Source organism: Homo sapiens, chromosome 2, assembly GCF_000001405.40.
Source record: "Homo sapiens chromosome 2, GRCh38.p14 Primary Assembly".
Lineage (NCBI taxonomy): Eukaryota > Metazoa > Chordata > Mammalia > Primates > Hominidae > Homo > Homo sapiens.
In genome coordinates, this window is record NC_000002.12 from 88,675,043 (window position 1) to 88,699,648 (window position 24,606).

Consider the following 24,606-nt stretch of genomic DNA (forward strand, 5'->3'; position numbering starts at 1 on the left):
AAGATCTCAGCTCACTGCAACCTCTGACTCCCGGGTTCAAGCAATTCTCCTGCCTCAGCCTCTTGAGTAGCTGGGAGTACAGACATTTGCCACCATGCCTGGCTAATAGTAGAGCCTCATTTTAACCAGGGTTTAAGTTCTAATTTCAGTGCAGATAATGAAATTCAACTATCAGGAAAATTAATATTGAAAATTCCCCTGAAAATAGCATGCTGGAGAGTCCTGTTGAGCCCCTCCTTAGGTCCACAGCAGCCAGTTTTTCTTCCAGGTACTAACACACTGCCAGCACCAAGTGAAGTTGTTGGCTCATGCATTAGGGATCAGGTTGAACATGAGACTCACATTTGGGGCCTCAAAATGTTCAAACTGAGTCTCATGGGAATTGAAGCTGGCTGAGAGCATTAAAAGGAATGATGGTGGGATCTCCTACACTCTATCATTTTTTTTCTTTCTTGCAGGGAATAGCCATTGTTACACTTGTATTAGTCTTTTAAGTTTTTTAAAGTTTACTGTATACATTTTTATTCCTGGGTAATATTCAGCAGAATGGGCTGTGGGAACCCCATCTGGAGTCCTGCAGAATTTGCAGAATTATGTCACAGGTAAGGAGTCAGTGATGAATTCTTCTGACTGGGGAAAGCAGGATCCCCTATAGCTCAGAGATGGGACTTAGGGTACACTCTGCCTTTACATCTCACCCTATGCTTTATCCTCTGTAAATATGGGTTAAATGGAATGATCTATCAGAAACAGTTGTGTAAAATGTTAATGTTGGAAGAGACCGTAGAGATAATTTACTTCAACTTTCATTCCCCCATACCCCACTCCCCACCACCCTTGAACTCTATGTTTGTATGAGTTCAACTCTCATTTAATAGGAGGAAGGTGAGGTTTAGAGAGATGAAGGGCTTTCACTAAGGTCACAAAGCCAGTCAGTAGCTGTGCTGAAAATAAAAACATCTAGGTCCTCTCTCTTTCTCAGACTTCATTTGTTATTCCTTTTACAACCTAAACCACCCTGAAGTACCTCCACCATGTTCTGTGCTCTAACTAAACATATTATAATAATCAACTGAGATGGTTAATAAAAAGTTCCTCGACCACTTGGCTTCCTTATTCTCCCTGATATTTTCCAAAAGTTAAAAACAGACTGTCCTGAGGCAATAGCATTTACAAAGACTCTATCCTTTGACCAAAACTTTATTGAGGCTCCTAGAGTCCTTTTTGACTAGGTTTGACCTTGGGCTTTTTCCTCTGTGCTTATAGAATCCAGTTTGAGCAAGAAACTTTCCAAGTCAGTTTAGCAAAACTATGCACCCTTGGTATCTGACCAGCCTCAATATCTTATCACCCTAGCCTGCCTTCAGCAATAATCCTATCAAGTCAGTTTAGCCAGAAACCCTTATCCTTGATGTTTCCCCTTAGTAATTTTCTATCCACTGGCTCCCACCCTGCTCCTTTTTTTTTTTTTTTTTTTTTAGAGACAGGGTCTCACTGTCACCCAGGCTGGAGTGCAGTGGCTTGATCATAGCTCACTGCAGCCTCAACCTCCTGGGCTCAAGTGATCCTCTCACCTCAGCCTCCTGAGAAGCTGGGACTACAGGTATGCTCCATCATGCCGGGCTAATTTTTTATTTTTTTGTAGAGACAGCATCTCACTGTGTTGCCCAGGATAGTCTTGAACTCCTCGGTTCAAGGGATCCTCCTGCTTTGGCCTTCCAAAGTGCTGGGATTACAAGCATGAGCCACTATGCTCGGGCCCTGCTCCTTGATTATAAATCCCTGCTTGTCCTTTTTGGAGTTGGAATTGAGTCCAGTCTCCCTCTCCCACTGCAAGACCCATTTGCAGTGGTCCCTATACCTATCACCATGGCTCCTCTTGAAAAAGTCTGCCTTACCATTCTTCACAAGTGGCATGAGTAATTTTTTTCCTTAACAGCATTAAATGTTTAGACACTTAGCCTTATTGCTAACAAACGTTTGGTCATTAAAAAAATGTACAAAGTCATGGTGGGAAGTTGACATAAAAATTGAAGGCTGAGAGAGCCTGAACTTTCTAAACAACATAAGAAAAACATCCTGAGAGAGCTAGCAATTTGTTTTGCTTTTATCCTCCCTGAAATAATAAAAACAATTTTCATTTCCTGAATCTTCCTTTTCCATGAGTAGTACTATATGTCAGTCCATATCTAAATGGCAATCAAGACTTGCCCTGCTTTTCTAGTGAAGAGAACAAAGATAGCTGACCTCAGGTCTGTTCCTCTCTAACTTGCACCTGCCTTTGTGTGATGTTGCCCTAGGCCCAGTGGCCTTAGCAACTCCTTCCCTATAAGCTCTCACTGGGCGTGACGTTGGGGAGACCAGCAAGAAAATAGTTGCTGTAAAAGATATCAGAAACACTGTATAGAGCACCCAATAGATTCAATGGTGTGCTTTATAAATGGCAAACTGTTCCAGAAATGCAGAAGGAGAAGCATGTTGGATGGAGTTATCTCGGTCCAGTTTTTAAAATCATAGTTTCTTGGTAGGATTATTAAATGTGAAATTGCTTGTGAGCTAGAAAGAGCGAGAAATTCCAGGCTGACTGAGGTAGCACGAGGCTGAAGGTGGGGAGTTGGAGGATGAAAGAAAGGAGGTGTTAAGGGCTGGTACCCTGAGTTCATTCATTCTGCAAATGCTGGGATCCAGGTGAGTTTTCTGCTTATATTTTAGAATGGCAAAGTATAGGCAATAAACAAACAAACAAAAGATTACATAATGTCAGCCAGGCATGGTGGCTCACACCTGTAGTCCCAGCATTTTGGGAGGCTGAGGTGGGTGGATCGCTTGAGTTCAGAAGTTTGAGACCAGCCTAGGCATCATGGTAAAGCTCCATCTCTACAAAGAAAATACAAAAATTAGCCAGGCATGGTGGTATGCACCTGTAGTGCCAACTACTAGGGAAGCTGAGGTGGAGGATCACTTGAGCCCAGGAGGTAGAGGCTGCAATGAGCCATGATTGTGCCACTACACTCCAGCCTTGGCAACAGAGTGAAACCATGTGTCAAAAATAAATAAATAAGTAAATAAATAAAAACATAATGTTGATTTAAAGCAAGAAGGTGAGGCACAAAATGTCATTTTAAAGAGCTTACTTGAGCCATGAGGAGGAGAGCTGCCCAGAAGACTCAGACCCAAGTAACCTTGGATGTGAGCTCCATCCAACCTTTGTTAACAGGCAGGTTTTTATAGACCTAAAGGAGGGATAAGGAGTGGACTGATAGGAAGTTGTTTGTCAAGGATTCTCATTGGTTTACAGAAATAATGTTGATTGGTGATTGCCTATATGTTGTTCTTTGTATGACAAGTTCCAGGAATATGAAGATAATGGGTGAGGGTTACATTATGAAACTACAGGAAAGGAAAGAAAAAACAAAATGCTTTTAAACAATTGCCTCTGGGAATGGGTGCAGGAGAAGATGGGAAGACTGAAGTCCCATACTCTCTGGGCCTGATACATTTTACATACCTCACATTCCTCAGAGAGCTCTAAGCTATTTTTCTTTCTTGATAACAAGATGATGACAGAGCACAATAGGATAATTTGATGGGAGTGAGGGGGAGATGGGAGGGCTGAGGATTGGGGCAGTGGTACTTTATTAGTAAATCAGGGAAGACCTCTGTGGCTAAACCTGAATAAGGTAAGGGAGCCAGCCTTGTGAAGGTTTTAAGGGCCCAGAGAAAGCTTCCCTTTCACCCTCTGAAGGGTCACTGAAAATCAACAGACACAAGACAGATTAATGGGAGAAAAGGAGTACAAATGTATTTGATCATCATTTTACACGACATGGGAGCCTTCAGAATGAAGACTCAAAAATACAGAGGAAACTGCCCATTTTTATGCTTAGGTTCAAGAACTATGGATAGCCATGTAGAAATATGATCGTACATAAAGGTTATGATCTAATGCTAACAGACTGAGTGGGGAAACCCAGCAAGGCCTGTCTGCTTAGATGACTCTTGGTCTCTCTGTGGAGCATTCCTTCCTTCTGGGTATGGGGCAGGAACCTCTCTGGAATGGTTATCCCTAACATGGTAGGTCAGGTAATTTCTTTATGGCCAATTTTTCACACAGAAAGGTGGGGGAAAGTTGGAGTAATATTTTTAGGCTTTATGGCTTGCTTTTGGGGAAAGGGGTTCTGGTTTCTATGACCTGCCTTGGGGAAGAGGGATTCTAGTTTCTGTGACTATCCTGGGGGAGAATGAGCAGCCAGAGATTGGAGGGCAGGGGAAGGTCAGAGAAAACTTTTCTTCTGCAACCTTTATCTTGGTGTATCATTTTCGCAGACTCAACAAGGTCCATGGATGTGTGGTCCAGTCTTAGAAAGTGCCCCTCTGACTTTTCTACAGAATGTATATACTCAAGTGGCAGAATAGTCTGTTTTCTTCCTCTCACCTCCTCCTTGAGGTGGGATGCACATCCATTCCCTCTTTTCAGGGCTTGGTAACTGGTAAGTTAGGCTGATGCTCAAGACTGAACAGAGATGGAGCCCTTTGGCAACAGTGCAGGCATCAGGGCTAGAGCTGATTCCTCTGCCAGCGTGGAAAGGAATGATCTTTTTTGTGAATGTCTGCTCCTCACCCCTACCTCACCAAACTGGCAAAGCTTGGTTTCCTTCATCTTTCTCCTCTTCTGCCCATATGGATCTGAAGTTTCCTCCAGCTCCATCCAGAGAAAACAAATGGATGGAACTAAATGACAACACTGACAAACAGGTGAGCTCCAGAGAGTGCTTTGGCAAACAAGGAACAACCAATGTGGGTGGGGGTACTGAGAGCTAGGGAGTTCCTTGGGGGTAAGATAGGTCTGGAGAAGGTGATCACTTGGGAGTTCTGGGAATGGATGAAACAGATGAAACAAGCTGCACAAGATAGATGAGGTGTTATAGTGGGTAGCTAGTCAGGCATGAGCGGGGCAAGAGAGGGCTCCCCACAACCCCCACCAAAAATGTCAGGGGCTCATCAGGTGATGTTCAGGCAGTGCTGTTTCTCTAAAATAATTGGTTGCAGCCAATGCCAGGGAAAGGCAGTCTCCCAACAGACAGAAAAAACCTGAAACTGGTGATCAGCAGCTTCATGATAAGATATTAGGAGTTGGGCGACTGGGCTCAAGCATGCACATTGAGGCAAAATGGTGTAGTTGAACTGGTATATGACCTCCTAGGGACATCTGACTGGTAAGGGAAGAATTCCTCAAGTGAGCATGCCTACAACTCCAGTAACACACTGTGCATGCTCCCCTCCCAAGCGCTAGCAGGCCACCATACATGCAGACAGCCCACCCCAAGGGAAGAATCAGGGGAGAACGAACGCAAGACCCTGGAATTATGCAAACATATAAAACCCTAAGTCAAAAGGTCAAACCACGCACTGATATTTCAAGTCACCCACTTGGCCCTCTTCCAAGTGGACTTTCCTTCCCTTTGTAACTTCTCTAAAGCTTTTAAACAAACTTTCATTCCTGTTCCAAAACTTGCCTTGATCTCTCCTGCCTTCCATCTCCTCAGTCAAATTCTTCCTTCTGAGGAGGCAAGAACTGAGGTTGCTGTAGACCTGTATGAATTTGCCACTGCTAACATACTTTGGTGCTATATGACTCGGATAAGTTCCCTAGTAGTACAAGACCTATACACCTTGCCTGCTTCAGCTGGAGGCATTCAACCCGTCTACATGGTTTCCTCCTCCTTTTTGCTCTCTTGCTTACTAACCAACCCCACAAACAATTCCTCTCAGCTACAGTGGCTCTACTCCCCCCAGCTGATCTCTCAGCTTACCCTGATGGGTAGCTCACGGGAGTGGGAAGGACCTTGGGGTCCACACTGAGTAGAACTAATGGCCCTCCTGGGCAGGAGGCTCATGAAAGTGGTAGGGCTAAAGTCTAAAACTGTGCAATGTCTGGGTTTTCCTCTGCTTTTTCAACTAAAATCAGCTTTTCCCCAAGAACCTGCACTGCCTATTCTTCTATTTTCTCTGTGTGTTCTGAAATGGCCTTGAACACCCAGCCAGACAGTCTGCCTTGGGGGCAAGTCTGGCTCTTTGCTTTCACTTCACATGCCACATGACTTCTTAAACACACACTCCCTGTTATTCATGTGTCCGCGGCTCTTGCTGAATTTTCATGGCAGAAAAGACACAGGCTCCTTTGCAGATAGCCCCTGAGATTTATACTTGTTTTTATCCTACCAGCTCAGATGACCTCCAACCCTTCCCCTGTCTGCTGGCACATTGCTGGGACAGACACTAATTGGAACTGTAGCTCTGCCAGCTCCTTATAACTTACTATATGCTTTTTGTTCCTGTTACACCCCAGGGCCAAGTTTTCCAGTGGCTTTTGAAGCAATTTGTCTGCCTACATAGGACCTCACTCTGGCCCTTTAAGGATCCCACCTACTTGCCTACTTGCTTTTTTTTTTTTTTTTTTTTTTTTTTTTTTTTTTTTTTTAGTAAGCACCCACTGGGAGGAGGATAAATTCTTCCTTTGCCATTTGCGAGTTCTTACCCCAAGCCCCAAGTCCCCTGGAGTTTACTCCTTTATGTCAAGAGGGCAAATAAATGTTGCCCCCTTGAATCCAAGGGCTGCTGTTTTTGTGAGGATATGAAGGCTTTCCATGAGTATTCCTCTTGCTTCCTCCCACTTCCTCCTGTAGCTTCCATTTCTCTAACCACTTCCATGCCCTTATTAACATACATCAAGACCTTCAAGGTCATATTTGCAGGGAGGGAAGTCTAGCCCCTTGGGGCAGTTAACTGAAAAACAGGCTTCTCATCTACTTAAAGAACATGGAAATGGGAATATAAGAAAATAGATAATCATTTTGTTGCTAAATGCTGAAGTGAGAGTCACTATAGGGTCATGGAGACAAGGATATAGGCTGGCCCAAGGCAGCAGGTGCAAGAGACCCATTGGACAGAGATGAAGTTTAGCCCTAGGCTAACAGATTACCATTAGAACAGAGATGAAGGCAAGGTTAGGGGTACACAGTAAGACCAGTTCATTCCAGAACCTTAGGGACGAACAGAGGGCCCACTTTTCACTCCAGTATCTCTTCTGTTTTCAAGTGGGTAATTGTGATGAGATGGACCAAGGGTACATGGTAAGACTGGTTTATTCTGGAACCCTAAGGACAATGGAGGATGCCTCATTCAGAATAATAGGAAAGTGGAGGAAAAATTTTACCCCCCTTTTTCTCCTCTGTTTGCCTTTTGCAGATGGGTAATAGCATCTCCAAATTAAAGATCATGCTCCTTGGAGGCGCCCCCTCAAACTGGGAAAAGTCTGATTCCCCCAAACCTTAAAACAAAAAACTAGTTTTCCTTTGTAATACTATTTGGCTTAAGAATGAACTGGGAGGAAATTGCAAAAGTCAGCCTTAGAACTCAGTACCCCTGTGCAGGAGGTCCTCAGATTAGCCTCCTCAGTCTTTTATAACTGACAGCAGAATAAGGAGGACAAGGCTAAGAAAAAGGAGAAACACAGAGAAAGGAGGTGGGCTCAAGTACTGGCTGCTCTGCAAGCCCACCAACTCCCTCCAGGTTGCCCTAAGGGCACTCCTCCAGGTAACTGCCATTGGTGTGGGAAGCCAGGCCACTGGAAGGCAAAGTGCCCTAATGGGATAAATGGGAAAAAGCCTCTAATGGCTTGCCTCTCTGCCACAAGCTTGGCCACTGGAAATGAGACCGCCCTGACGGGCCAAAGGGCCCTTGGGACAGAATCCCAACCCCTGATAACCTTGAGCTGAAGGTGGTCTCTGCTCTAGTTGCCTTCCAAATCACACATCATCATCAACAGGACAAAGCTGAGGGCAACTCTGCAGGTGGCAAGTAAAATTATAAATTTCCCTTTTGGATTCAAGAGCTGCCTACTCTGTGCTAATATCTTTCTCTGAGAAACTCTCTTCCAAATCCTGTCAGGCAATAGGGGCAAATGGCACCCCCCTCCAAAAGAAAAGATTCACACCCCTTTATATTAGTTAAGGGACCAATTACTATTCTCCCACCAGTCCCTGGCAATGTCCTCTCACCTCTTTGGGGCAAAAATATACTTTCCAAAATGGGTGCTCACTCAATATTTATCCAGCCTCTGAATTCATCTTTCTCTCTGATAGTCCTATCTCTCCCCTCAAAATTAAGTAATTCTTTAACAAATAACTTTAACCGGTACAGTCCTACCTCAGGGGTTTAGAAATAGCCCACATTTATTCAGACAAGTTCTAGTGAAAATCTAACTGAGCAAACTCTTGAGCGGGGGATAACTTCTGCAGTAGGTAGATAACCCCCTTATCTGCTCCCCCTCCACAGGACTCACATAGCAACATGTGGTACAAACCTTAACTTTCTAAAAGAAGGAAAATGACTTTTGTCTAATTCAAAGGTTATAAAGGTAAAGTGGTATTTCTGGTAAGGAAGGCTATAAAGAAGAGATATTGTAGAACAAAAAAAAATCTTGTATGGTAAATTCTTGTCCTAAAGTAAAATGACTGGTGGTTTAAAAAGAGGGATGTTTAGGACAAGTAAAAAAGTCCAAGCATGTTGTAGGTGGTCTGTGTAAGTTGTTAAAAAAGATTTGTGAAAGGGAATTTATGAAAGAACTACTACACAATTTTAAAGGTTACTATGCCATCTAAATGCTTCACAAACTGCCACTATAGCTCTTAACAGTACAAATTCCCTGCTTTAAAGCTAGGTAAGGCCTGGGAACATACAGAGTTAGCCATGCCCCCTAGCTATGCTGAAAACAGTCAGACCTTATCTGGACTTCTGTCTGGTGTCCTAGGCTCCAAACCTAGCACATAATTAAAATCACTTACTCACCAGGTTTTTCACCAAAAGTAAAAATTGCTAAGACTTAATAGTGTAACATGTACTTGAGGCTATGGGAAACATAGTTTTACATGGAAGGTGTGTAAGGAAGGTAGAATGTGCTTTTGGGAAAAAGTTATAAGAACTCATGGGAATATGGATTTTTTTGCCTACTTTAGATGGTTAAAGGATTGTTTTAGAAGGCAGTTTATAATCAGCTATGGGAATCTAACAGGTGCTCTTAAATGCAGGTTTCTGATAACTTTGGATATTGTGACATTAGAATAGAGGAAAAATCTTTCAGGACCCTCATGGAGAGCTAAAATGTTTGTGAATATCAAGCAGAATAGGAGTTAACTACATGGACTGAACTAATAAAAAACTAGAACAATCCTCTTATTACTTTTTGCTTAAAACATGGCTGCTCCTTTGTTTTTCAAAGCCTAGAAAGCTTTTCTTTTGAGCCATTTACAATTTTTAACAAATGAGCAAAGTATACCCCTGTAAACAAAATTTGCAGCATATTTCTCTCTTCCAGATTCCCCAGAATTTGGAAACAATTTGTGAGTATTCTTAACTTATGGCAAGATAGTAATTTGCATAAGTGCAATAAGAATCTGTTTTCTTTTGCAATGACAAAATTGAAGCCACTGGTTATTTTACCAAGGCTTTAACTGTAATGGTGTGCTTTCCTTCAGGGAATCAAATTTGACTTATAGAGCCAATAAAAGCCCCCCCTAGGAAAACATACCTTATCTACACGGTCCCTGTACAGGGTTCCTGACCTGTGGTAAGTAAAGAATACCAGTTTCTGACAGGCCCAGGAGCCCCAGGTTATCTGGGGACCTCAAGAGGAAAGGAATTTATTCAATTCATACAGGTATTTGATGGCACCAACCCATGGCTGGGCTTAAGGCTTTAAAAACGTCTTATCTGAGATTCCTTATGGAACAAAGTTGCATCAAAGCCAATTTAAAAAGGAGCCTATAAGGGAAATAATTATTCTTGCTGTGCTTTGTGCAAATAATTAGGCCAAGTATAAGAAGACTAAAGTTTATTTTGCAAACAAATCTGTCCTGTCATGATTTGTTTTTAATAAAAATGAGGACTGGAGAGAAAAATTCTATTTATTTCTTATTTTTTTTCTTTTTTCTTTTTTTTTTTTGAGATGGAGTCTCTCACTCTATTGCCCAGGCTGGAGTGCAGAAGCATGATCTCGACTCCCTGCAACCTCTTTCACCTGGGTTCAAGCGATTCTCCTGCCATGGCCTTCTGAGTAGCTGGGATTACAGGCACCCACCACCACGCCCAGCTCATTTTTGTATTTTTAGTAGAGATGGGGTTTCACCATGTTGGCCAGGCTGGTCTCAAACTCCTGAACTCAAGTGATCTGCCCACCTTGGCCTCCCAAAGTGCTGGGATTACAGGCATGAGCCACCATGTCTGGAAAATTATGTTTCAAGAACTATGGTATACCTGTTCTTAGATTCTAGTCTCATCAGCTGTTTTTGAATTTTTCTCTGCAATTTAGACTAACCCTTATTCCTGTGAACCAGCTAGTGATCTCTGGCTGCAGCTCAGAAGAAACAAAAGGGATGGGTAACATACAAATCTGGATCAATATTCTAATTCTGGGCACATACTGGAACTGGCTAGCAACCCAATAAACCCAAGTCTTGGCAGGCATGACTATGGCCACCAGTTACATGGGTGTGCCGGCAGGCTTGGGGTTTTTTGGAGCTGTCCTCACCTCCTTATTTCATTTTAACATTCTACTAAATCTAATAACTCAATTTGTCTATTTTCATCTTCAGGCCATCAAGCTCCAGATAATCCTGAGAGAGGGATACCATCCTCTCAATATTCAAGAGTCACCCTCTTACAGGGGACCCCTAGATGTCCATCAGGGATACATGATGGAGATAAAATTCTGCCCCTGCCTCCCTTGGACCTGGCTGGATAGTGCTCTCATCAACCCATGGAGCCACTCTCCTTCTCTGACAGCTAGCAACAGGCCAAGACCCACAGAACAACCACCACTGCCCCACCATCAGCAGGAGGGATTTACAGAAGACTGATCATCCATTTTTCCCAAAGAATTGGGGTCTTGGAATCTTGAGGGGAGAAATGCTACAGTGGGTAGCTAGTCGGTCATGAACAGGGCAGGAGAGCACTTGCCCAAACCCCTAAAAGGAATGTCAGGTGACCATCAGGTGATGGTCAGGCAGCTGTTAATTGCCTCTCTAAAATAATAATTGTTTGCTGCCAGTGCCAGGGAAAGGAAGTCTCCCAACAGATAGAAAAAACCTGAAACTGGTAATCAACAGCTTCCCAATAAGATCTCAGGAGTTGCACTAGTGGGCTCAAGCATGTGCATTAAGAGACAAAATGGCAGAGCTGAACTGGTATCTGGCCTCCTAGGGACATTCAACTGGTAAGGGAAGAACGCCTCAAGTGAGCATGTGTACAACTCCGGTAAACACACCATGCATGCTCCCCTTGCAAGGGCTAGCAGGCAACTGCACATACAGACAGCCCACCCCAAAGGAAGAATGAGGGGAGAATAAAATGCAAGCCCTGGAAGTTTGTTAACATATAAAAACCTAAGTCAAAAGGTCAAACCACTCGTCTTTCAAGTCACCTGCTTGGCCCTCTTCCAAGTGGACTTTCCTTCCTTTTGTTCTTTCTCTAAAGCTTTTAAACAAACTTTTATTCCTGTTCTAAAACTTGCATTGGTCTTTCCTATTGCCTAATGCCTCCTTGGTTGAATTCTTTCTTCTGAGGAGGCAAGAATTGAGGTTGCTGCAGACCTGTATGGATTCGCTACTGCTAACAGAACCTCCCATGTAGTCTCACCTGAAGATTCTTTAAGGCAGTTTCTCAATATCAGCACTATTGACCTTTGGTTGGGAAAATTCTTTGTGTATGTGGCTGTCTGTGCACTGAAGGATGTTTAGCAGTATCCTTGGCCCCAACCTATTAGACGCCAGTAGAATTCTCCCAATTGTGACAATAAAAAATGTGTCCAGACATTGTCAAATATCCCCATGAGGGGAGGGGCAAAAATCATTCCAAGTTGACAATCACTGGTGTAAAGATATCAAAAGTCAGGTGATCCTTAAGCAAGGAATGGTTTTATACAGCAGTAAGGGGTTGTTCTATACACATTTTTCTCAGTACCACATGGTGTTGGTCAACTAGCAGTAAGATTTGGTTTTGGTAAATGGACTGCACTATGCTGTTTTCCAGCGTTACATGCATAGCAAGGTAGTAACACTGATGTATTAACAATGACTTGTTTTGATCACTAGACCACTGTGAATAAGGTCCAATCCTCTTCCAAGGCCCTAGTCAAGATTGCCAGTAGACAATAAACCTGCCCTTGTGAAAAGGGGATGGAGCAAGGCAGGTCAAAAGTTGAGGCTCCAAAGGGTCATTCTAACGGTGTGAGAGTGGAGGGTGTGAGGTTGGGTTGCTAGGTCTAAATGAGTGAAGCTGTTGAATGAAAGTAGGGAGAGCCAAACTCTATTCTGAGATATATCTGAGCCAGCATCTTCAGTCTCTGGCAGGATCCTCAAATCCATTCCAACATCTAGTTTGTAGCTCTGTACAGTCTTCCATGGAAATCATCTTCAAAATGTACAAACTTTGAAGAAAGTAAGAGTGAGAAAGGAGAGGAAATGGAAATGAGGAAGTGGAAAAAGCAAGAGTTTTTCCTGCTTCACTGAAGCCTGGGCAGGAACACAATGATGGCTATGTATCTTCCTGGTGGTGCCTACATCCCAGCTGATATGGTTTGCTCTGTGTCCCCACCCAAATCTCATCTTGTAGCTCCCATAATTCCCATGTATTGTGGGAGGGACCTGGTGGGAGATAATTGAATTATGGGGGTGGGTATTTCCTGTGCTGTCCTTGTGATAGTAAGTCTCATGAGATCTGATGGTTTTAAAAATGGGAGTTTCCCTGCACAAGCTCTCTCTCTTTGCCTGCTGCCATTCATGTAAGATGTGACTTGCTTCTCCTTGTCTTCTGCCATGATTGTGAGGCTTCCCTAGCCATGTGGAACTATAAGTCCATTAAAGCTCTTTCTTTTGTAAATTGCCCAATCTCAGGTATGCCTTTATCAGCAGCATGAAAACGGACTAATACACCAGCATTAAGTGAATTGCCATGGTGCCCATTGCCTCTGTTTCCTCTAAGGCTGGACCACACTGGGACTATCATGGGAGTGAATACTTAAAGCCCATGCAGGTGCAGGCCTTACCTTTCACCACTATAAATAGAGTAGAACGGTGGGCTCTGCCTCTAGGATCTTTCATTCTGGCACTGATAACTCTTTTCCAGGAGTTCCTTGGAATCTCAGCCCAATTTCATTAGGTTTCTTGAAAGAGGGAAGAATAAACCCCATGTGGTTCTTTCTAGTGCAATCTAGTTAAAAAAAAAAAGACTTTTTAGTGCTTGCTTTGGCAGCACATATACTAAAACTGGCAAGATACAGAGATTAGTATGGCCCTTATAATTTAAAAAAGGCTTTTTAGTGGGTTATTAAGTTATAAAGTAGATTGATCTTACTTTTATCAGACCCTGAATCTGGTCCATCATCCAAAACCTGTGCACTTCCCTTCATTTAGTACTTCCTCATTTATAGTTTTTTCCCCCTCTTAACCATTTCATCTTAAGATTTGCTGCTATTACATGTGGCTTTAAAGAGAAAAGGCATTACCTGTGTGGTTTATACAAAGTTCATGGCTATATTGGGGGTGGGGTGGGGCAATTAATAAATCCCCATCTAGGTGATTCTATTAGGTCAGTGTTTGGTCCTAGAATCACTGAAGGTTCGTATCCCAGCTTCGCTTACAAGCAGTGTGACCTTGAGTAAGTGAGGACTTTTTTTTTTTTTTAAGATGGAGTCTTACCCTGTCACCCAGGCTGGAGTGCAATGGCGTGATCTCGGCTCACTGCAACCTCCGCCTCCTGGGTTCAACTGATTCTCCTGCCTCAGCCTCTCAAGTAGCTGGGATTACAGGCACCTGCCACCATTCCCAGCTTGTTTTTGTATTTTCAGTAGAGACGGGGTTCACCATGTTGGCCAGGCTGGACTTGAACTCCTGACCTCATGATCTGCCTGCCTTGGCCTCCCAAAGTGAGGACTTCTTTTATGCCAATGAGGATAACAGTATCCACTTTTTTTTTTTTTTTTTTTTGAGATAGAGTCTCACTACGTCTTGCCCAGGCTGACAGTGGTGCCATCTCAGCTCACTGCAGCCTCTACCTCCCGGGTTCAAGTGATTCTCCTGTCTCAGCCTCCTGAGTAGCTGGGACTACAGGTGTGTGCCACCACACCCAGCTAATTTTATATTTTTAGTAGAGACGGGGTTTCACCATGTTGGCCAGGCTGGTCTCGAACTCTTGACCTCAGGTGATCCACCTGCCTTGGCCTCCCAAAGTGCTAAGATTACAGGTGAGAGCTGCTGTGCCTGGCCAGGAGTTAACAGTATCCACTTCTTGAAGTCAGGATTAAATGTGATAAAGTCTGCAAAGCACTTAGCATTGTACCTGGCACTATTATCAATAATTATGCAAATGAAGTATCATCAGAATGCGATACTCATATTATTTCAAAGATCAGCATAGTCTTCAGCCCTAAGAACCGGGATTTCGGAATGTCCATGAGAATCACTAGGCATGAATAACAACCTAAGGAAAGGATTAAAAGGGTTGCAGAAATGGAAAGACAAGTACAACATGGAGAAAAGAGAGAAGGAAAGAGAACGCAAAGAGGCACAGACAGACTTTGTCACCCCAAAACAGTAATTGAACAATGCACTGTCCATGTTATGAGCAACAGTCTCTGCCATCAAGGGACACGTCGTTTGAGTGAGACAGTCAAATGAATAGAGTGAGATGGTTATGACAGAGAGGTTACAGGTAATTGTGAGCACCGAAGAGCAGCCAACTCAACTAAGAGTGGGGTTTAGAGTTGCAGAGTAACAAGTAACAGAATGAAGTCTTGAAGAATATCTGAGAGTTAGAACGGTACAGAGTGTACAAAACCACGGAGGTAAGAGCATGGACGCAGGGACTAAAATTCTGTATGGCCGAAGGTGGAGTGTAGGGTTAAAGCATGACATCTATTTGTTATTTAAAATGTTTTAGATATTTGTTGAGGACCATCTACAGGTAAAGCAGTTTTAGGAATGGAGGATTTTGTAGAAAGACACCCAAAGTCCGTCTTCTCAGAATGTTCTGTTCTACAGAGGATATATGATAAACAAGTACAAAACGAAGGACACGAATGATGGACGGAAGTTCTGTGATAGAAATACAACCATGCGCAAAGTGATAGAGGAGGGGTGGGCAGGAAACCCAATTTAGATGAGGTGGTCACTTAGACTTCTTTGGGAAGGTGGTATTTCAGCTGAGTCAGAAGGGTGGATGGAGCAAGCAATGCACAGATGGCCAGGCTGGCAGGTAGAGCATTTAAAATGGTTCAAAGGTCCTCAGGCCGGGGGTAATGGGGTAAAGCAGAGACTAGGTAACATTTACTTCATGAATCTTTTGGTGTGGGTGCTGAGGAGCATGAATAAGGTGAAAGACTCCTCCTAAGGAGATACATTAAAGGTGACATATTTGCCTAGAGTAGCCTTCAACTTTGCAGACCAACAGTAGTGGGAGTCCAGACATACTGTTCTGCATGTTAGCCAGAACCTTTTGCTATGTTCTGAATTTGGCCTAAAATGAAGGATTCAAATATCATCTCAAACAACTTTTCCTCCTACAGACTAAGGTGAAGATTCAAGAGCTCACGGCCTCAGAGGGCAAAGCATAGTTAAGAAAATCTAGGTGATAACCGGCAGTTAACAGTGGCCCATACCAGTGACTTGCGCTCACGGAAGAGTTCTGAAGGCCTGGAATGCGTTTGAAGATGAGTTCATGAGCAGACAGAAAGGATTCCACTAACAGCCGAGAAACACAAAGGTCATGTGTTTTTAGGGACCTCCAAGTGGTCGGTAAGGTTGGGGTCAGCATTAGTTTCTTTGCCTGTAAAATGGGGGCAATAAGAATTCCTCGTCCCTTAACTATTCTCAACAGCAAGAAACCTTAAAGGTAGAGAAGAAAAGATAAATCTGTTTTCACAGAAAGTCCTTGTTAGTCACGAAGGATTGCAGGATCGCTGCAGGGCACACTCATATGTGCAGAACCAGTCTCCAAATGGGCGGAGCAAGGTGCAGCTCCACCTGCTTCACCACTAGGTGCAGAAGAATGTCCACGGCAGGGGGTTCTCAACTTGTGACCTTGGGTCTGCGGGGGTCTAGATGGACTTCAGCTGGCGCCGTGTCGCATGTGAGTTTCCTGGGCTGTAGTAACCCCAAAAGGGCCGCGTCGTCTACAGAAGTGCCACTACTTGGAATTCTTGTCCATGGCCACGTTCTCACTGCTGGGAGAAACAACAGGGTCAGGTCTAACACTCCTTTCTCGGATGCATGGGCGAACAGAAATATCCCTGGGCTTCACCTAGCCGTGGCCTAAGTACACTTCCCCAGGGTAAGGAGTCACCATACTGATATTCCCGCGGCTAATGGTACTTCACAGAGCGAAGTGCCGGAGCCCGTCGCCGGCGATTGCGCATTCCGTCGCGGAGAGCATTATGGGATTGGTAGTCCAGACTGAGGCGCAGATAGGGGTTCCTCGAAGCCACAGAACTACATTTCCCAGCAAGACCCGCGCAGCAGGGCACGCAGACTGTGTGCGTAAGCGACCAGATTTCCGGGGGAGCCGGGGGCGGGACTTCAGCGGAGGCCGGAGCGAGGCGTCGGGATGCAGCGCCCCGGGCCCTTCAGCACCCTCTACGGGCGGGTCTTGGCCCCGCTGCCCGGGAGGGCCGGGGGCGCGGCCTCCGGCGGAGGAGGGAACAGCTGGGACCTCCCGGGTTCCCACGTGCGGCTGCCGGGGCGTGCACAGTCTGGGACCCGTGGCGGTGCTGGCAACACAAGCACCAGCTGCGGGGACTCCAACAGCATCTGCCCGGCCCCCTCCACGATGTCCAAGGCCGAGGAGGCCAAGAAGCTGGCGGGCCGCGCGGCTGTGGAGAACCACGTGAGGGTGAGCACTTCGAAACGTGGGGCGCGGGGCGCATGTCCTTGGCGTGATGGGCTACTGTTGCGCGTTGTGGGTGCTGCCGGGGCGCGCCTAGCTCCTGGCAGGGCGGGAGCTGAGTGAGAGGGTAGAGGGTGTGCACTTTACCCGAGTTTAGACCCCTCTTCCCTGCTCCTTAAAGACCTTTTAGATGTGGAATCGGTTGGGGGCGAATCTTCTAATACTTGAGCTTTCTAAAGACTCCTTGTCCAGCTGGAACAGTTTGCAAAGTGGAGCCTGGTGCTGTCTGATGTTTGGAATGGGGGCTAGAGGCACTTGCCTTGTGGCCTCCTTATCAATAAATGGAAAATGGTGGGCTTTGGGGCTGCGGAGAGGTTTTCATTTCTCTTTACTGACCCGGAAGCCGGCGGAGAGTTGGTTTGCTAGTGCTTTGAAATTTCAGTCGAAGGAGGTTCTGGGCTTGGTGCGCGCCGGCCCCTGAGTGTACTCTTGGAGGGAAGGGAAGACCCGGGGCTTCAAACTTCCTTCTTTCCATAGGGCTGGGTGGACTAAGTCTGGAGGATGCTGGTTTATTTTTTAAGGCGGGTCTGCAGAGATGTTTAGCTGTTATTCAGTCAGGTCGTGGTCCCTACTTGTTTGTTAAGTGGCAGGTGTGGTGCTGTTAGTGGAGTTTTTTTAATCCAAGTGGTTTTGCTGTCACCAATCAAGTATCTTAATTATAATAAGGAAGCCAAGTGGAGTATGTCTGCCCTGTGGTGTAGTTTCCTTGGTCTTATTGGCTTTTTATCTCTCGTTTCTACTTATTAGAAAGTGGTATTAGAGTCTCTTTTCTTCTCCGATAATAGTTCTTTACATTTGTTAATGCTTTACAAAATTATTTTGCTTAGATGATGTTGGATGAGCTTCACCACAGCCTGTTTGAGTGGGAGTGGACAATGTGGTAACCTGTGGCTCAGCCAGTTCTGTAGAAGGGATGTTCCAGTGTGACCTTCTACTCTTTCCACTGCTACCCTGTTCTGGTGTAGCTTGTTGTAAGTCTGATTGGCAATAGGATTTTCTATGGGGATTAACAGAGATAATGTAAAATGTGTTAATTTGACCCTACCTTTGGGATTCAGTGCCTCCGTTGTAAAATTGAGACAATAAGCTGAAATTTCAAAATATCTGCATACAGTGAATAGCTAATAGATAAATGTAATCCACATGAGAATACAATTAGAAAAGCCCCATATCTAAGTTGTCCTGTTAATGAATTTACATTAATATTTGGTGGCGCATCTCCCTGACCTTTGTGTTATAGTCATGTATTTGATTAAATAAAAATCTGCAAGCCCTGACCTTAGGCTAGAGCCCCAAAACACTGGATTCTGACCACATCATTTCATGAAGTTAGGTAATTTTGGGGAGATCTACAGTGACCTTTTGGGGGCACCTGTTAAAATCATATATGCCCTTCAGGGTTTGGCTTAAAGGCCATTTCCTCCTTTCAGTTTTTCCTTAGCATCCTAAGGAGAGGAAGATTTCTCTTCCGTGATTCTGTAGCACTTCATGCCTCTTATGTGCTTTATGTTGTATCTCATGTTTTGGTCATCTGTGTGTTCGTTTCTTCCAGCCCCTTAAAGGGTAAGCTCCTGGAGGGTAGTTAACCTTCATTTAGCATTGGTCACAGTGGGTCCTGCCCAGTACATGTTTGTTCAATTGTGTGCAGTGTGGACACAAATACGAAAGTGTTGGGGTTATTGGAGGTTCTTTGTGTAGAATCTCTGGGGAGTAGGGCTTCCTGTTCTCTAGTCCATTGGAGTTCCAATATGGTGACCACTTCCGTGTCTGAGTGGATGGAAAACATGGAGAGTTCTCAGGTGAATCCTTTGTATAGCCACCTTGGGCCCAGCTCTGTCTGTTTCTGTGGGTGTAGCCACCCAGGATGGGTCGACATGCAGAACTAGGCTCTTCTGAATGTCTGTAGCCTCATCCCTTTGTTCTCTTTGGAGCCTGGGCTTTGTTTTTTTACTAGCTTGGTTGAGGAAGCTGATGGGCAGTGGTTCTAGTTGGTTAGCAGAAGTAGTATTTCCAAAGTTACTCCATTCGACAAGCTGAGTGAAGTTCTGATGTTGCACATACATGTGGTTTAATATTGCCCATTAGAATGGGGCCACTCCTCTAGCAGGGCCTGCTTGGCAGTCTTCTGCTGTTGGGCCACCTCATAGGCAGCCTTTGGTCACCTCTGGTTGGCTTTGGCAAGGGCACTGATTTCCTGGGCCAGTCATTTGATTCCAAGGCAGCAGGGATCACATGGGTGAAGAGCTTTAGGTCTGGCAGGGCCTTGCAATTCCTGGTCTCTTTCAAAAGGCAAAGAACGAGCCTTATACAGAGCTTGTCTGATTCATCCGAATTCACCTCTGTGCCACCTGCCTGCTGGGGACTGTGAGTGACATGAATGTATGGCTAAGCTTGGTAACCAGGAATTTGGTGATTGAATTACTGTAAAGCTAGAGTTCCTAGCTTCAGGTCATATGTGAAGGTCAGGTTAAGTCTATCTAGTGTGATATTTTAAACACACACACACAATGTTTTTATCCATGGCTCTTGGTTCATAACACTCATAGCCCTTGCTACAGTCTTTTGTTATATTTGGGGTGCTTTAGGGCCCAAAGCAGGCCTCAGAAAACAGAATCTCCCTCTCTTACCTTCTCCTTCCCTCCTTCCACTTGCTCCTTTCTCTCCCCAATGCTTTTCTGTCTTGGAGCTGGCTGTAAAGAAATTCTGTGACCTATGTTGTCTGTTTGTACGTCATAAGATCCCCATTTCAGAAGGGTTCCTGTTCCATACCCTGGAGGAAGGAATGCTGCAGGTGAAGAAGAATCTGAACAGACAGCCGTTGCAGGGTTTCCCCAGTCAGTCTGCTAGTATTGGATCATGCCCTTTTTGTTCAGTCACATTTCTAGGCCCTTGCAATTCCTGGTCTTTTCCAAGAGCCAATCATACCTATTCAATAAAGTCTCAAAAAAAAAAAAAAAAGAAAAAGAAAAAGAAAAGCTCGAGAGGACAGGGTTTGGAAGCTTCTGGAGAGCAGAACATGTGAAGGTCCCTGGAGGATGGTGTGCCTAGAGAGAGCATGGAAGCTCTGTGCTCCTTCTTACATGCCTTTACCTATGCATCTCTTCATCCATATCCTTCATCATAGCCTTTATAAGCTGGTAAACATGTTTTCCCTGAGTTCTGTGAGCCACTCTAGCAAGTTAATCAAACCCAAAGAGAGTGTTGTGGAAACTCCAACTTGAAGCTGTCAAGTCAGAAGTTCTGGAGGCCTGGACTTGCATTTGGTAGGAAGGAGGAGGCAATCTTGGGAGCTGAGCCCTCAACCAGTGGAACCTTATGGTATCTCCAGGTAGAGAGTGTTGAAATTGAATTGGAGGATACCCAGCTGGTGTCTGCTGCAGAGTAGATTGCTTGCTTGGGATACGGGGAGAAATCCCCATACATTTGATCACAGAAGTCTTCTGTGTTGATGATTGTTGTGGTGTGAGAGCAGAGGAAAAAGTTTGAGTTTTTCCACACTCAGACATAGGCCTTGATAAGACATTTTCTCATTCCTTGAAGATTTTTATATGTGAGATATTTAGCCATTTTGAATGTTTCTGTACTGTGATGTATCATTTACTTGTCTTGAAGTCCTTGCCTTTGGGGATTGTCCAGGTAGCTAAACAACTTTACTACACACATTGCCTTCTTGAGAGCATTGGTATAGGTGGAATCCTGACCTAGTGCGAGCCCTGTTCTGACAGCCCAAGCCCCTGATGTATTCAGTGCCTTTGGAACTGTGAGCTAGTAAAAGCAGTTTCCACCAGGTCAATAACACAAAAGTTGTTGGATAAAGTCTTCTGTAGGTAGGAGAGGCTATAGTAGCATTTTTAGTATATATGTATATGGTTGTGGGGACATTAGTATTTGATTTTTTTTTTTTTGGTAACTCTACTTGTTGGTCATTCTTTCTAATCTTTTCTAGTTATAGATGTAGTCAGGCTTTGAGAAGGACCATATCTAATGTGAGGCCTAGGGGCTGACTTTAAGTATTCCTATGGCCTTTGTCCTGTGGGGAATGAAGGATTTTAGTTGTGGCCCTGCTTGTCCTGAGGGCCCTTCAGGACTTGTCTTCTTCCTAAAAAGAAGGTTTTACTATGGGCTTTCCTTTGTCAAATAAATTAATTGTTAATCAGTTGTTGGAAATCTTAAGAAATTTGAAATAGATTGATGTTTCAGCGAATTGAACTTCCTGAAGTTGCTTATTCGATTGAAATGGCTCATCCTGTAATCCCAGCACTTTGGGAGGCAGAGGTGAGATGATCACTTGAGGCCAGGAGTTCGAGACTAGCCTGGTTGGCAGAGTGAGACTGTGTCTTTTAAAAGAATTAAAAAAATTAGCTGGGCATGGTGGCATGTTCCCATAGTACTAGCTATGTGGGAAGCTGAGGCAGTAGGATTGTATGAGCCCAGGAGTTTGAAGATGAGTTTGTGTGTGTGTGGGGGGGCATTGATAGTTTATATATATTATAAACATATATACAAGATATATTGTATATCTTGTATATATATTTAAAACAGGTAAAATCACACATATATAAAACAAATATATGTCAAAGATTTTATTTAACTCACTAAATTAATGAGGGAACTGGAAAGGTTATTAGAACCTGTTCATAGGTGTCTTAGTCCATTTTGTGCTGCTATAATAGAATACCTGAGAATGAGTAATTTATAATGAACAGAAATGTTTTGGCTTATACTTCTGGAGGCTACGAAGTCCAATATCAAGGCGTTGGCATCTGGTGAGAGAGACAGATGTTGAAGTGCTATGGGTGGGCACCAATCCTACCCATGAGGGTGGAGCCCTCTGACCTAATCACCTCTTAAAGGTCCCACTTCTTAATATTGTTATAATGGCAATTAAATTTCAACGTGAGTTTTGGTGGAGATGTTCAAAGCATAACAGGAGAAGTCAACTGTAAGCTCATATGTAGTAAAAAAATCTTAAAATGAATTTAGAAGATCTGTTAATAATTGTGTCTCACAGAACACTATTAATTTGCATTTCAATGAACAAAACTTACTTGCTTTGTTAACAGTTTTCTGCAAGTTAAAGTGTATCTCTATACAGTCGTCATATATCTTAAAGACAAAGGCACATACCTTCTTAGAGTCAGACAATACAAGCAGGTTCCAGCATCCCATTGGAAGGATATCCAGTAGTCTCTTTTGCTCATTTCAAAGTCTTAAGTTTTTCCTTACAATATTGAACTCATCTATAAAGTGGAAATAGTGGCTCTGTAGGTCATAAGTGATTGTTGTGAGATTTGGCTTTATATTAACATTTATAAGTCTTCTTGGTAGGTGCTTAATAAATGGTAGCTGCCGCTTTGGTGTTCACTTGGCTTTGCCTTGCAAAGGCAGGAGATAGATGTCAGGAAGTTGCTTAGGCACTGAGCTGCATATTAGTTCCTGACTGTTAGTACCCTGGCCTCGTTTTGCTCTTTGTGGTCTAGTAGACTCAGCTGAGCTTTTACTCTTTGGTCTGCTTGCAGGTACCTTCTTTGTTTCTTCTTGTTTGGTCTGCTTGTAGGTACCTTCTTTGTTTCTTCTTGTTTGGTCTGCTTGTAGGTAGGCTCCGTATTGTGATGTCTGCCTGTACTTTGTACTCAGGAAGTGCTCTGCATTTATTATGATCCTTTCTATTGCAGATGAAGACTATTTTTCATGTTCTTAACTAAGCCTTTGCCCTCTTTCCATTTTCTCTGAGGCAGGCTCATGCAAAATGAGCACCCCTTGGTGTCACCTAGGCAGATGCTGACATACTTTATTATTTTGAGGTTACTTCAGGCCCTCCCTTTATCTGCTGACTTTGGGAGAGCTCTAGATGGTGGGCCTGATGTGTCTTGTGGTGCTACCAACTTGAAGGTGCCTATGGAAGACACTGAAGCCAGAAGCCTTAGCTTTCCTCCCTTACCCAGGCTCCAGGCTCTATTGTTTTTTCTTAGGTGTTTTTCTAATTGCCTCCCTGGGATTGGCCAGGAATCTTTTTCTTTTCTTTCTTCTTCTTCTTTCTTTCTTTCTTTTTTTTTTTTTTTTAAACACACTGTTGCTGGCTTGAAATGTCAGGAATCTTTAAGTGTTTATATGCAGGCCATTTCTGTGAGGGTGACGCAAGTTGCTATTCAGTTGCAAGTAATTGCACCAATTATTTGGTAGAATGTAGGGAGGAAGCGGTGGTGTTGACAGTGTCAGAAATGAAGAGAGGAGGGCCTTGTTGAACATTTGTCCACCATGGATTGGCTAAAGTACAGCATTGAGGTTCATTGTTTATGTTCCTATAAAATAGGCACAGTACCTGTCTTGTACCTGTGTTGGTGGATTGCTGTTCATAATAATTTTATAGCTTTAGGAAGTAGGCTGACAAAGGAGTAAAATATGATATTAATAAGTTTTGTTTTTTCTTCCCCGTTTTTTGGCAGAATAACCAAGTGCTGGGAATTGGAAGTGGTTCTACAATTGTCCATGCTGTGCAGCGAATAGGTATGCTCTCTCACTGTCTACTGGATGTTTTGTGTGTGATGATGGGGTAGGGAGGTAGAGGAGAGGGAGGAAGTGGCACACAGGTTTGGCATTGCCCTTTTGGCTTCAGCAGTACAGAGCTGGAGAGAGGGACTACCTGAGGTCAGTTGAGTGTTTCTGCTCTTTTGTGGAGAGAGGGAATCTTGGGCCTCTTCATCCAACTTTGAAGGACGCCCTTGCCTTTGTTTACTCTGCTCAGCTGGAGGGGAGGAGCTGACTTAGCTTGAGGTCCCAATATAATTTTAATCATGTTGATGGCATTCTACCATTGAGTTCTTTGCGTGAGCTCAGACTTCCTCAGGCAGATAATTGAGGCCATAGTGGGTTTGCCCTGTCCATGACCCTGGAGTGGATGTGGGACTCCTGCCATTGATGGCTGGTTCCTGCAGGTGCTCATTTCACACTGATTAGGGTGTCTCTATGCTTAGGAAAGACTCAGGAATTATCAGCCCCTATGGCTGCTCAACAGGTTTTACTTCCCTGCTCTTTGTTTGTAAGAACAAAGCCCAGAGGAGAGGCCTGCCTGAATGCTGAATTCTTCTAGGTGCCAAGGGGCAGAGCCCAGGAGGTAAAGTCCAGGAACACTTTGTTATCAAGGAGTGGTTTTAGTGCTGGTGTGATGGCTTCTGGAAGCCTTCTCACTGGCCAAATAGGAGCTTTTGTGTTATATACCTTTCAATCTTAACCAAGTATCTGGAGAATACTTTCAGGGCACAGGAGTTACTATGGATTTTATAATAGTGGCACCCAAACCTCCCAAGATGCACTCAGTGATTAAAAAGACTTGAAATTTTAATACGAATTTTTTCCTGAAGTCTTTTTTTTTTTTTTAAATCAAACTTTCCTGAAAGGTACAAATCCAAATTGAAAAAATAAATCTCCTTTAGCTACTCTCTGGGGCCTACAAATAAGTATGTTTTTTACTAAAATGCAAAAGTAAAGTTCTGGCTTTTTCCTAGAAGAGGCAATATAGGGGAGTTAAGACTGTGTGGCTACATGGCCTGGGATCATGTCCCAGCTGTGTCCCTTATTAGCAGTATAACTACCGAGTTACATTACCTCTCT

General features: G+C 43.9%; 1 protein-coding gene and 1 long non-coding RNA gene across 5 annotated transcripts in view, besides 5 other annotated features; one reads left to right on the top strand and one right to left on the bottom strand.

Annotated features, from left to right (window-relative positions):
- The window catches only part of LOC102724805 (uncharacterized), a 40,267-nt gene extending 23,833 nt beyond the window's left edge, over positions 1–16,434 (bottom strand). The window contains exons 1-3 of one of the 3 annotated variants that reach the window (XR_940344.3): positions 15,713–16,434; positions 13,103–13,266; positions 3,777–12,484 (exon numbers count right to left, since the gene is read on the bottom strand). This is a non-coding gene — a long non-coding RNA (uncharacterized LOC102724805). Of the gene's footprint in view, positions 1–3,776; positions 13,267–15,712 lie in introns of those variants that run through there. The other 2 variants (XR_940345.3, XR_007087132.1) reach the window with 2 other exon arrangements.
- Positions 16,108–16,177: an enhancer, noted in NCBI's record as "active region_16172". NCBI's record gives its function as "activates an Ori minimal core promoter by ATAC-STARR-seq in GM12878 lymphoblastoid cells {active_cell/tissue: GM12878}" and the evidence as "EXISTENCE:reporter gene assay evidence [ECO:0000049][PMID:35858748]".
- Positions 16,558–16,857: a silencer, noted in NCBI's record as "silent region_11733". NCBI's record gives its function as "represses an Ori minimal core promoter by ATAC-STARR-seq in GM12878 lymphoblastoid cells {active_cell/tissue: GM12878}" and the evidence as "EXISTENCE:reporter gene assay evidence [ECO:0000049][PMID:35858748]".
- The window catches only part of RPIA (ribose 5-phosphate isomerase A), a 59,257-nt gene continuing 51,281 nt past the window's right edge, over positions 16,631–24,606 (top strand). For both annotated transcript variants that reach the window (NM_144563.3, XM_047443733.1), the window contains exons 1-2: positions 16,631–16,941; positions 23,442–23,502. In NM_144563.3, coding sequence (NP_653164.2) covers positions 16,657–16,941; positions 23,442–23,502 — 346 coding nt within the window. In that variant the 5' untranslated portion in view covers positions 16,631–16,656. The remainder of the gene's footprint in view (positions 16,942–23,441; positions 23,503–24,606) is intronic.
- Positions 17,018–17,187: an enhancer, noted in NCBI's record as "active region_16173". NCBI's record gives its function as "activates an Ori minimal core promoter by ATAC-STARR-seq in GM12878 lymphoblastoid cells {active_cell/tissue: GM12878}" and the evidence as "EXISTENCE:reporter gene assay evidence [ECO:0000049][PMID:35858748]".
- Positions 17,418–17,597: an enhancer, noted in NCBI's record as "active region_16174". NCBI's record gives its function as "activates an Ori minimal core promoter by ATAC-STARR-seq in GM12878 lymphoblastoid cells {active_cell/tissue: GM12878}" and the evidence as "EXISTENCE:reporter gene assay evidence [ECO:0000049][PMID:35858748]".
- Positions 23,625–23,799: a silencer, noted in NCBI's record as "fragment chr2:88998185-88998359 (GRCh37/hg19 assembly coordinates)". NCBI's record gives its function as "represses an EF-1alpha promoter that drives an FKBP-Casp9 reporter gene in an ReSE screen in HepG2 liver carcinoma cells {active_cell/tissue: HepG2}" and the evidence as "EXISTENCE:reporter gene assay evidence [ECO:0000049][PMID:32094911]".